Source organism: Homo sapiens, chromosome 4, assembly GCF_000001405.40.
Source record: "Homo sapiens chromosome 4, GRCh38.p14 Primary Assembly".
NCBI classification, from domain to species: domain Eukaryota; kingdom Metazoa; phylum Chordata; class Mammalia; order Primates; family Hominidae; genus Homo; species Homo sapiens.
In genome coordinates this window covers 13,380,970-13,393,275 of record NC_000004.12, presented here as the reverse complement: position 1 = coordinate 13,393,275, position 12,306 = coordinate 13,380,970, and the positions used below count along the sequence as shown (strand labels likewise).

Here is a 12,306-nt window from a genome sequence, read left to right as displayed (position 1 = left end):
CTGACTGATTTTTTCTCCTCTTTCAGTATGTAACTGAAGCATCACTTTCTCTGTGACATGGCTTCTATCATCCCTAAGCAGTTGTAGAAGTTTCCTGTCTCTGTACTCCTGTTATAGATTGTCTTATACAGATCTTTGTTACTCTCATGATTTCAGAATAGCATCTTTTTATTTGTGTCCCTCTTAGCCTTCCCAGCTTTTAGCACTACATAAATTGTTGGTGAGTAAATAAATGCATGGACAAACCACAATGACACTAGCTAATACTTATTGAGTATATGCCAGGCACATACAATATGTCTTGCTATATGCTAGTCATTGCTTTTTGTGTATTTATTCATCTTATCCATTATAGCAACCTTATGAGATAGGTATTGTTATTGTTTTCATTTTATAGATGAGAACACTCACTATATTTATTGTTTACAGCATTATGTTTTTAAATATGTGTACATTGAGTAATGGCTAAATCAAGCTAATTAACGTATTTATTTCCTCACATACTTATCATTTTTTTGTGGTGAAAACACTTAAAATCTATTCTCTTAGCAACGTTCAAGAAAACACTTATCTTTTTTTGTGGTGAGAATACTTAAAATCTATTCTCTTAGCAACTTCCAAGAATACAATACCTTATTATTAACAAGAGATTACAAGTGCTGGCCAGGATATGGAGGAAAGGGAATGCTTGCACGCTGTTGGAGAGTGCATTCTTTATCACTTTGCACTACTTTCTTTCCAGATGAATCTGTAAATAACTGAAGAACTATAACTATATTCAACCCAAGTTTCTTCTGTATTTACCTTAATGCAAAGTCAAGAAAAGTTATTTCTTGTATGGGACAAATTCTTGTATATAATCTATCATCTCTGGATTGGTAAAATAATAACAGAGGTCATCTCTTGGGATATGAAAAAATTTTACTGTTAGGACATTTTCTTTATAAAGATATTTGATATAATGTAATTTTAATCAGAATTATTTACTATTTAATATCATAATCTTCCTGTTACTCATCAAAATCTGTCTCTATATCCTAATATACAGGCCACTTTATCCTGGAAGTTATCCAAGTGAATAAATTCTGAACCATCACATAAATTTAGAGAGTTAGTGTTCCACTAGAATCAGCAGGGCCAAATGGAGGATAAAAGTGACAACTTTAGATTCAGAATTTTTTAAAAAATTATACTTTAAGTTCTAGGGTACATGTGCACAACATGCAGGTTTGTTACATAGGTATACATTTGCCATGTTGGTAAATGTATACCTAATACGTTCCTAATGTAATGAAATTCCTAATGTAAATGCCTCATCATTTACATTAGGAATTTCTCCTAATGCTATCCCTCCCCCAGCCCCCCACCTCCCGACAGGCCCCGGTGTGTGATGTTCCCCGCCCCGTGTCCAAGTGTTCTCATTGTTCAGTTCCCACCTATGAGTGAGAACATGCGGTGTTCAGTTTTCTGTCCTTGTGATAGTTTGCTGAAAATGATGGTTTCCAGCTTCATCTGTGTCCCTGCAAAGGAAAAGAACTCATCCTTTTTTATGGCTGCATACTGTTCCATGTTGTATATGTGCCACATTTTCTTAATCTAGTCTATCATTGATGGACATTTGGGTTGGTTCCAAGTCTTTGCTATTGCGAATAGTGCCACAATAAACATACGTGTGCATATGTCTTTATAGTAGCGTGATTTATAATCCTTTGGGTATATAGCCAGTAGTGGGATCACTGGGTCAAATGGTATTTCTAGTTCTAGATCCTTGAGGAATCGCCATACTGTCTTCCACAATGGTTGAACTAATTTGCATTCCCACCAACAGCGTAAAAGCGTTCCTATTTCTCCACATTGTCTCCAGCATCTGTTGTTTCCTGACTTTTTAATGATTGCCATTCTAACTGGTGTGAGATGGTATCTCATTGTGGTTTTGATTTGCGTTTCTCTGATGACCAGTGATGATGAGCGTTTTTTCATGTGTCTGTTGGCCGCATAAATGTCTTCTTTTGAGAGTATCTATTCATATCCTTTGCCCACTTTTTGATGGGGTTGTTTGTTTTTTTCTTGTAAATTTGTTTAAGTTCTTTGTAGATTCTGGATATTAGTCCTTTGTCAGATGGGTAGATTGCAAAAATGTTCTCCCATTCTACAGGTTGCCTGTTCACTCTGATGGTAGTTTCTTTTGCTGTGCAGAAGCTCTTTAGTTTAATTAGATCCCATTTGTCAATTTTGTCTTTTGTTGCCATTGCTTTTGGTGTTTTAGACATGAAGTCCTTGCCCATGCCTATGTCCTGAATTGTATTGCCCAGGTTTTCTTCTTGGGTTTTTATGGTTTTAGGTCTAACATTTAAGTCTTTAATCCATCTTGAATTAATTTTTGTATAAGGTGTAAGGAAGGGATCCAGTTTCACCTTTCTAGATATGGCTAGCCAGTTTTCCCAGCACCATTTATTAAATAGGGAATCCTTTCCCCATTGCTTGTTTTTGTCAGGTTTGTCAAAGATCAGATGGTTGTAGATGTGTGGCATTATTTCTGAGGCCTCTGTTCTGTTCCATTGATCTATCTCTCTGTTTTGGTAGTAGTACCATGTTGTTTTGGTTACTGTAGCCTTGTAGTATAGTTTGAAGTCAGGTAGTTTGATGCCTCCAGGTTTGTTCTTTTTGCATGCAGGCTTTTTTTTTTTTTGATTCCATGTGAACTTTAAAGTAGTTTTTTCCAATTCTGTGAAGAAAGTCAATGGTAGCTTGATGGGGATGGCATTGAATCTATAAATTACCTTGGGCAGTATGGCCGTTTTTCATGATATTGATTCTTCCTATCCCTGAGCATGGAATATTCATCCATTTGTTTGTGTCCTCTTTTATTTCCTTGAGCAGTGGTTTGTAGTTCTCCTTGAAGAGGTAAAGAGGTCCTTCACATCCCTTGTAAATTGGATTCCTAGGCATTTTATTCTCTTTGTAGTAATTGTGAATGGGAGTTCCTTCATGGTTTGGCTCTCTGTTTGTCTGTTATTGGTGTATAGGAATGCTTGTGATTTTTGTACATTGATTTTGTATCCTGAGACTTTGCTGAAGTTGCTTATCAGCTTAAGGAGATTTTGGGCTGAGAAGATGGGGTTTTCGAAATATACAATCATGTCATCTGCAAACAGGAACAATTTGACTTCCTCTTTTCCTAATTTAATACCTTATATTTCTTTCTCTTGCCTGGTTGCTCGGCCGGAACTTCCAACACTATGTTGAATAGGACTGGTGAGAAAGGAATCCTTGTCTTGTGCCAGTTTTCAAAGGGAATGCTTCTAGTTTTTGCCCATTCAGTATGACATTGGCTGTGGGTTTGTCATAAATAGCTCTTATTGTTTTGAGATACGTTCCATCAATACCCAGTTTATTGAGAGTTTTTTAGCATGAAGGTTGTTGAATTTTGTTGAAGGCCTTTTCTGCATCTATTGAGATAATCATGTGGTTTTTGTCATTGGATCTGTTTATGTGAAGGTAGATTCAGAATTTTAATTTGTTGCTTCTGAATAAAAGCTGTAAACCTCAATGAAATAAAAACAAAACATGGTACTAAAATATCTATGCATGTAGTGATATATGTGTTCAATTTGCCTTCAAATAATCTGAGAGTGGTGGTATGGATGAAATAGGATTGGTCATGACTTGACAATTGTTGAGGGTAAGTGATGAGTACTTCAAGAGTCATTATACTATTTACTTTTGTATAAATTTGAAATTTTCCATTAAAGTATTTCAGAGTGGTGGATTATCAATAACTGTAGCTTTGGAAAGCTATGTTTTTTCAAATGGTGGTTAAAAAACTACAAAATTTACCATCTTAACCATTTCAAGTGTACAGTTCAGTAGTGTTACTGTAGTCATATTGTTGTGAAACAAATCTTCAGAACTTTTTCATCTTGCAAATCTGGAATTCTATAGCCATGAAACAACAACTTCTTTTTTCCTCTGCCTACATCCCCTGGCAACCACTATTCTACTTTCTGTCTCTGAATTTGACTAGTTTAGTTAACCTCATAAGAGTGGAATCATATGATATTTGCATTTGGTGACTTGCTTATTTCACTTAACGTAATGCGCTCAAGGTTCATCCATGTTGTAGCATGTGACAAGATTTCCTTTCTTTTTAAGGCTGAATAATATTCCATTGTATATATACACTGCATTTTGTTTATCCAGTCATTCATCAGTGAACATCTGGATTACTTCCACCTCTTAGCTATTATGACTAGTGCTGTTGTAAACTTGGATGTGCAAATAGCAAATATCTCTTCAAGACCCTGCATTCAGTTCTTTGGGATATATACCCAGAAGTTGGATTACTGGATCATACAGTCGTTCTATGTTTAACTTTCTCAGAAACCCCATACAGTTTTCTGTAGCAGTTGCACCACTTTACAGTCCCACCAACAAACATTAGTGTTTCAATTTCTCTACATCTTTTTCATCCTTGTTTTTTTAAATTTAGCCACCTTAATGGTGATATTTCTTTGTAGTTTTGATTTCCATTTCTCTGATGATGTGTTATCTTTGAGGAAATATCTATTCAAGCCTTTTGCTTATTTGTAAATTGTGTTTTTTGTTGTTGAGTTGTAGGTGTTCTTTATATATTCTAGATATTAACATTTTGTCAGATATATGATTTGCAAATATCTTCTCCCATTTTGTAGGTTGTGTCTTCACTGTGTTGATTATGTGCTTTGATACACGAAAATTTTTAAGTTTGATGTGGCCCTGTTCGTCTGTTATTTCTTTTGTTTCTCTGCATTCGGTGTCATGTCCAAGAAATCACCACCAAGTCCAATGACCTGAAGCTTTTTCCCTGTGTTTTCTTCCAGGAGTTTTACAGTTTTTGGTTTTTATGTTAAGGTCTTTAATTGATTTTGAGTTAATTTTTGTGTGTGGTGTAAGATAAAGGTCCAACTTCATTCTTTTACATGTGAAAATCCAGTTTTCTCAACATAATTTGTTGAAGAGATTGTCCTTTTCCCCACTGAGTTGTATTGGCCTCCTTATAGAAGATCATTTGGCCATATATGTGAGGTTTATTTCTGGGCTTTCTATTCTATTTGGAAGACTACATTTTAAACCAATAAAATGTAGCTCTTAATTAGCATTGCTTTTATGGCGTATCCGACTCTCCAAGTAAATCTTGCTGTCTGAAAGCAGAGATGTTAGAATAACACCACGTTTGTTAAAAGATCTTACAAAATACTGAATGATAGTGATGGGTGAAAATTGACACTGGGTTACAAAATACTGAATGATAGTAATGGGTGAAAATTGACCCTGGGAGTTCTTGGGTTATCAAGTTTATAATTTGACCTGGGGAAAGTCAGGGAGGAAAGATAAGCAGATCCCTCAACAAGTTTTGCATTGTGTGGACAATGTCTTTAGAAGCACATATACTTTGTCTGGCATTCAAAAATGGTGGTGCTATATTTTCAGAATTGTATTTTCATTCCAGTCAAAAGTATCCACTCCATGCAAATAAAATTTTTTTTGAAATTGAAGAATCAATCATGTTGAAAACATACATTTTTTCTTTAATTCTTCACAGACAGCTATTTTCTTCAGATTTCATTGTTGAAGGAGAATCTAGCAAATACCAAAAGATGTCATGTTCAAGCCATCTGTACTTTTACCTAAATGTGTAGCAAACCTCCACACTGTATAATTACTTCTCATACTTCAGCATTGCTTTCCTTATATCTTCCAACAAAATGTGTTGACAATGAGGTATGGATTTTTGTTTTTGTACTATTTTCCATTATCACTTGAGCCATTAAAGGGCAACAGAAATAACATTTCTCCAATGGTACAAGTTTTGTTAATGTTTTTCCCTAATATGTGAAAATGTAAAATAGGCTTCACAATTTATAATTAAATTTAATGTAATTTTATGACTATTTGATTACATGTGAGATGACCAGAATAGCAGAGACAATTATGATGCTTAGATTTCCATTGTCTTGCTAATCATGTTAACTTCCTATATTTTCTTTTAACTTTTAAGTTCGTGGATACATATGCAGGTTTGTTACATAGTTACACTTGTGTCATGAGAGTTTGTTGTACAGATTTTTTCATCACCCAGGTATTACACCTAGTACCTATTAGTTCTTTTTCCTGATCCTCTGTCCCCTCCCACCCTCCATCCTCTTGTAGGCCACAGTGTCTATTGTTCCCCTCTATGTGTCCATGTGTTCTCATCATTTTTCTCCTACTTATAAGTGAGAACATGTCATATTTGATTTTCTGTTCTTGCATTAGTTTGCTAAGGATAATGGTCTCCAGGTCCATCCATGTTCCCACAAAGGACATGATCTCCTTTTTCATGGCTGTATAGTATTCTATGGTGCATATGTACTGCATTGTCTTTATCCAATCTGTCAATGACAGGCATTTAGGTTGACTCCATGTCTTTGCTATTTTGAATAGTGCTGCAAGGGACATACACTTGCAAGTGTTTTTAAGATAGAATGATTTATATTCCTTTGGGTATATACCCAGTAATGGGGTTGCTGTGTTGAATGGTAGTTCTGTTTTAAGTACTTGAGGAATCACCACACTGTTTTCAACAATGGTTGAAGTAATTTATACTTCCACCAACAGTATGTAAGCATTCCCTTTTGTCTGCAATCTTGCCAGCACCTGTTATTTTTTGGGTTTTTCCATTCTGACTAGTGTGTGATGGTATCTCATTGTGGTTTTGATTTGCATTTCTCTAATGATCAGTGATGTTGAGCTTTTTTTCATGTTAGTTGGATGCATGTATGTCTTCTTTTGAGAAGTATCTGTTCAGGTCCTTGGCCCACTTTTTAATTGAGCTGTTTTTTTTTCTTGTAAATTTGTTTAAATACCTTATAGATGTTTGATATTAGATCTTTGTCAGATGCATAGTTTGCAAACTTTTCTCCCATTCTGTAGGTTGTCTGTTTACTCTGTTGATAGTTTCTTTTGCTGTGGAGAAGTTCTTTAGTTTAATTAGGTACCATTTGTAAATTTTTGTTTTTGTTGCAGTTGCTTTTGGCATCCTCATCCTGAAATATCTGCCTGTTCCTATGTCCAGAATGGTTTTGCTTAGGTTGTCTTGCAGGGTTTTTTGAGTTCCTTGTGTATTCTTGATATTAATATTTTATCAGAGTTTGTAAATATTTTCTCCCATTCTGCAGGTTATTTCTTCACTCTGTTGATTGTTTCTTTTGCTCTGTAGAAGGTTTTTGTTTGATATAATTCTGTTTGTCTATTTTTGGTTTTGTTGTCTGTGCTTTTGAGGTCTCATCCATAAAAATCTTTGCCCAAACCAATGTCTGTAAGCATTTCTCTTGTTTTCTTCTAGGAATTTCACAGTTTCTGGTCTTAAATTTAAGCCTTTACTCCATTTTGAGTTGATTTTTGCTTATGGTGAAAGATAAGAGTCTGTTTTTATTCTTTCGCATGTGGATGTCATCATGAGGTTAGCTGGTTATTATGCAGACTTTTTTGTGTGGTTGCTTTATAGTATCAGTGGTCCGTGTACTTAAGTGTGTTTTTGTAGTGGTTGATAGTGGTCTTTCCTTTCCATATTCACTGCTTCCTTTAGGAGCTCTTGTAAGCCAGGTCTGCTAAGAATTCCCTGAGCATTTGCTTGTCTGAAAAGGATCTTATTTCTTTTTTGCTTAGTTTGGCCAGATATGAAATTCTGGGCTGGAATTTCTTTTCTTTAAGAACATTGAATATTAACCCTTCTGGCCTTTAGGGTTTCTGGTAAGAGGTCTGTTAGTCTTATGGGCTTCCCTTTGTATGTGACCTGACCCTTCTCTCTAGCTGCTTTTAACATTTTTCCTTTTATTTCAACCTTGGAGGATCTGATGATTATGTGTCTTGGGGATGATCTTCTTGTGAAGTATCTTACTGGGGTTCTCTTCATTTCCTGAATTTGAATGTTGGCCTCTCTAGCTAGGTTGGGGAGATTCTCATGGATGATATCTTGAAATATGTGTTCCAATTTGCTTCCAATCTCCCCATCTGTTTCAGGGACACCAATGAGTTGTGGATTTGTTCTCTTTATGTAATCTCCTATTTCTCAGAGATTTTGTTCATTCCTTTTCATTCTTTTTCCTTTATTCTTGTCTGACTTATTTCAGGAAGCCAGTCTTCAGGCTCTGGGATTCTTTCCTAAGGTTGATCTATTCTGCTATTAATAGTTGGAATTGCATTATGAAATTACTGTAGTGTATTTTTCAGCTCTATCAGGTCAGCTATATTCTTTTCTGTACTGGCTGTTTTGTCTGTCAGCTCCTGTATCATTTGGATCTTCCTTGGATTGGGTTTCAACATACTCCTGCATCTCAGTGACCTTCGTTTCTATCCATATTCTGAATTCTTTTTCTGTCATTTCAGCCATCTCAGTCCAGTTCAGAACCCTTGCAGGAGAAGTAGTGCCGTCATTTAGAGGAAAGAAGGTACTCTGGCTTTTTGAGTTGTTAGAGTTCTTATGTTCATTCTTTCTCATCTTTGGGGGCTTATGTTCTTTCGGTCTTTGATGTTGCTGATCTTTGGACTTTTTTTCTTTTATCCTATTTGATGACCTTGAGAGTTTGATTGTGGTATAAAGTGGGTTCAGTCAACTGGCTTCATTTCTGGAAGATTTTAGGGGGCCAAGCCTCAGCTCCCAGCTCCTGGACTGCATGCTCTAAATCTGGGGGACTTGTATCCAGCCCCAGATTTGTTCTCTGACTCCTCGAGGTTAGGAACCCACTGTGCTGGTGGGACCTACGTATTCCTGGACCACTGGTCATTACACTTCAGTAGGTGGTACTAGCCAAAGTGTTTCGTAAGGCAGCGGCAGTGGGATTTGTCCTTGTTTGCATGTGCTAGCAGCAGCAGCAGCAGCAGCACGGTGGGGTACACACTCATCAACTGCAGCAGGGTGCTAGCAGGTGCCTGCCTCCCTGCAGGCATTCACAGCAGCAGCAGAGGCAATACTGCTTTGAGGGCCCCTGCTGGCTACTGTGCTGGTGGTGGTATTAGCATGGGGGTCGGGTGCTGGCGGGTGCAGGTCTGTGCCTGCCCTCTGTGCATGATCACTCAGGTGGGGTGGCTGCTCAGGGTAGGGGAGGTCCATTGTTCTCCCTTCCTAGTTTCACTCTTGCGGCAGTGTTGGTGCAGGGGTGAGGCTCTGGAGGTGGTGGGGTTGGCAGGGTTCACTGGGGCGAGGGAGGCTGGTGCATGGCGGTGAGTACTACTTTCCACCAGTCAGGTGCAGTGCACCAGTGCAGAGGTATAATGTGGACCCCCAGTACATCCAAGACTGCACTGCAAGCAAGTATGGCCAGGCTGGGACCTCAGGAGAGGGCAGCAGACCAAGGGATGCTGAGGTTGGACTAGCCCTGTGTGATAGGCAGGACTGCCCTGCATCATTCAGGTCTGACAGTTCCCCTAGGGCTAAAATCTCCTGTGGGAGCACAGGCACGCCTTACATGGCGTCAGGCAAGATGGCATGTGCAGGGGAACTGCCCTTTATAAAACTATAAGATCTCATGAGAACTTATTTACTATCATGAGAACAGCACAGGAAAAGCCGTCTCCATGATTCAGTTACCTTCCACCAGGTCCCTCCCATGACCTGTGAGGATTATGGGAGCTACATTTCCAGATGAGATTTGGATGAGGACACAGCCACCCAAGATGAGATTTGGGTGGGGACACAGCCAAACCATATCACTACCTGCCACAATACCTGGCATATAATAGATGCTCAATAAATGTTTGTTGAATAAGTTCTTTTTTTTTCAATTGAACAATGGTACTACTAGTCTTTCCATGGTTATATTTGTTAGGAAAAAAACTTTTGTTTGAGTAGTAAATGATAGATGGAGATTTGGAAGGAAGGAGGGAGAAAGAGAAATAAAAAGCAATAAACCATTAGAAAAAACAAATGTACACACACATTAAGTGACACAACTTTTATTTTTATTTATTTATTTTTTAATGGATGGTGATTTCAATGGGTGGCGATTTCAATGGGGATTTTTCCTCGTGACAAGATTTGTTCTTACTCTTGTTGAATTAGAAAAGTTAGCTCCAATATTATGATAAATTGGATATATAAATGTCAGTGCTAATAGCTTAGTATTTTAGTCTTCCACAAATTGATGCCTGTGGTATCTGGACATTCCTTGCCTGTTCTTGTAAATAAGGAGATAGTGATGTTTAAGGAATAGCACTCTGGCCAGAAGAGCAAAAAAAACAAAACAAAGCAAAACAAAAAGACCAGGTGCTGTGGCTCACGCCCGTAATTCTAGCACTTTGGGAGGCCGAGGTGGGTGGATCATTTGAGGTCAGGAATTCAAGACCAACCTGGCCAACGTAGTGAAACCCCATCTCTACTAAAAATACAAAAAATTAGCCGGGCGTGGTGGCAGGCGCCTGTAATCCCAGCTACTTGGGAGGCTGAGGCAGGAGAATTGCTTGAACCCAGGAGGCAGAGGTTGCAGTGAGCCGAGATCATGCCATTGCACTCCAGCCCGGGTGACAGTGCAAGACTCTGTCTCAAAAAAAAAAAAAAAAAAAAAAATTCCATATTTTCCAAGGTAAGCAATATAAATGGGGCTCAGGAATACCCCATTAGATTAAAAAAAATCTCCTAGAGAGAGAACCCTTGAGCCTACAAACTAAAGACTTTCAATATAATTTTAAATAAAGTCTTTTATGTAGTATGAGTGCATTTTTTAGTTGATAATCAATTGGCACTATTATGTAGGCTTACTAGATTTGCAAATTTACAAGTTTTTACAAGTCATTTGGGTCCCTTCCTCAGGAAATCAGTTTAAGTTTTTTTTTTCCTATATTGACTCAAAGAGCCTAGTTGTCCTTAAATCCTGTGAATATATTTGCCTTATAATTTGACGGCATTGAATCAACACCCTTATAGGGTCTGTAGTGTTGTAAAAAGAGAAACTGTTAAATAAAGGATCACATTTGGAAAAATACACTGTGCTGGATAAAACCAGTATTGGATATGAGTACTGTGCCTTGCTTTAAAGCACCTACAACTATTTAAGGAAATACATCCTTGCCCCTTACTCTCAAAATGGATACTCTAGATGGAAAACAACTGAACTATGTCTTTGTGAAATTAAAGTATGGCTATAAATTAATGTAAACACACAATGTAATATTGATCTCTTAAGCAGAAAGTTATGTATTTGTGCTAACATTCAAGCTTATAGAGATTACAGAGCTAATTATTAAAGTAATTAAACTCTTTCAAGCCAAATATGCTTGGGTAAGTACAACTTGCCTTCAATTAATCACCATGTTTAAATGTACTATATTAAGTAGATCTTTGTTGAGCATCATCAGTGTGCCTGAACTTATACAGATGATAATAATAATGATAGCGCACATTTTTTTTTTAGCACTTCTGTGCTGGTCTTTGTGCATTATACATAGATTAATTATCAAATAACTCTCTACAAAATAGGTATATTTATTATTCCCAGTTTATAGATGTGGAAACTGAGTCATAAAGAGGTTTAATAAATTGTCCAAGGTTGCACAGCTGATGTCGAAGCTGGAATATAATATTGGAAAGCAAGTCAAATTTAAACATGTTAAAAACGTTTTGATAGACTCTAATATTGAATTATTTTCTTTCTTTAACACCTTTCTAGTTGATTTGGAGCATATGCGAACAATAAAACCTGAAAAACACTTACGGTTTTGCCAGGAAAATGGTTTTAGTAGCCACTTTGTCTCAGCCAAGACAGGAGACTCTGTAAGTAAAATAATGAATACTGTATGTGATGTTTTCCTTTTATTTACTAACATTCCTAGGAAGTATACTTCCACTATTTAACTTTTGGAGCAAATTAATTCCTATTGAAAACATGAAATTCCTTAGATTAGATATAACATGTTTATTCTGGTTATATTACTTTTATAATTTATTTAACATAATTTTAGTTATTTTTAAAAGGGGAATTAAAATGAATATAAACCACCCGTAATGTCAGTATCTAGAGATAACCACTCATAACCTCATATGATTCCATCTAGTCTCTTTTCCTGATGCTCACACTAGTGCTGCTGCCTGTGGCTAGGAGATGGCATTCATTGAGTGCTTACTTTATTATAGATATTGTACTACTCTGATTATCTCCATTTTATAGATGAGTCTTAGAGAAATTATGTAATGGGGTCCAGATTACACGGCTAATAAGTGGAGGAGAGAGGATTTGTGAAGGCAAATAGTGACACTCTGGGGCTCACAGTCACAACCCTATATTTATTTTTAAA

General features: G+C 36.9%; 1 protein-coding gene across 3 annotated transcripts in view, besides 1 other annotated feature; it reads left to right on the top strand.

Moving 5' to 3' along the window:
• The window catches only part of RAB28 (RAB28, member RAS oncogene family), a 116,617-nt gene that overhangs the window by 91,065 nt on the left and 13,246 nt on the right, over nucleotides 1-12,306 (top strand). For all 3 annotated transcript variants that reach the window (NM_001017979.3, NM_004249.4, NM_001159601.2), the window contains exon 5: nucleotides 11,682-11,785. In NM_001017979.3, the coding sequence (NP_001017979.1) occupies nucleotides 11,682-11,785 (104 nt within the window). The remainder of the gene's footprint in view (nucleotides 1-11,681; nucleotides 11,786-12,306) is intronic.
• Nucleotides 8,586-9,085: an enhancer, noted in NCBI's record as "H3K4me1 hESC enhancer chr4:13385815-13386314 (GRCh37/hg19 assembly coordinates)". NCBI's record gives its function as "activates a minimal SCP1, AML or CMV promoter by ChIP-STARR-seq in naive H9 embryonic stem cells {active_cell/tissue: H9 hESC(naive)}" and the evidence as "EXISTENCE:reporter gene assay evidence [ECO:0000049][PMID:30033119]".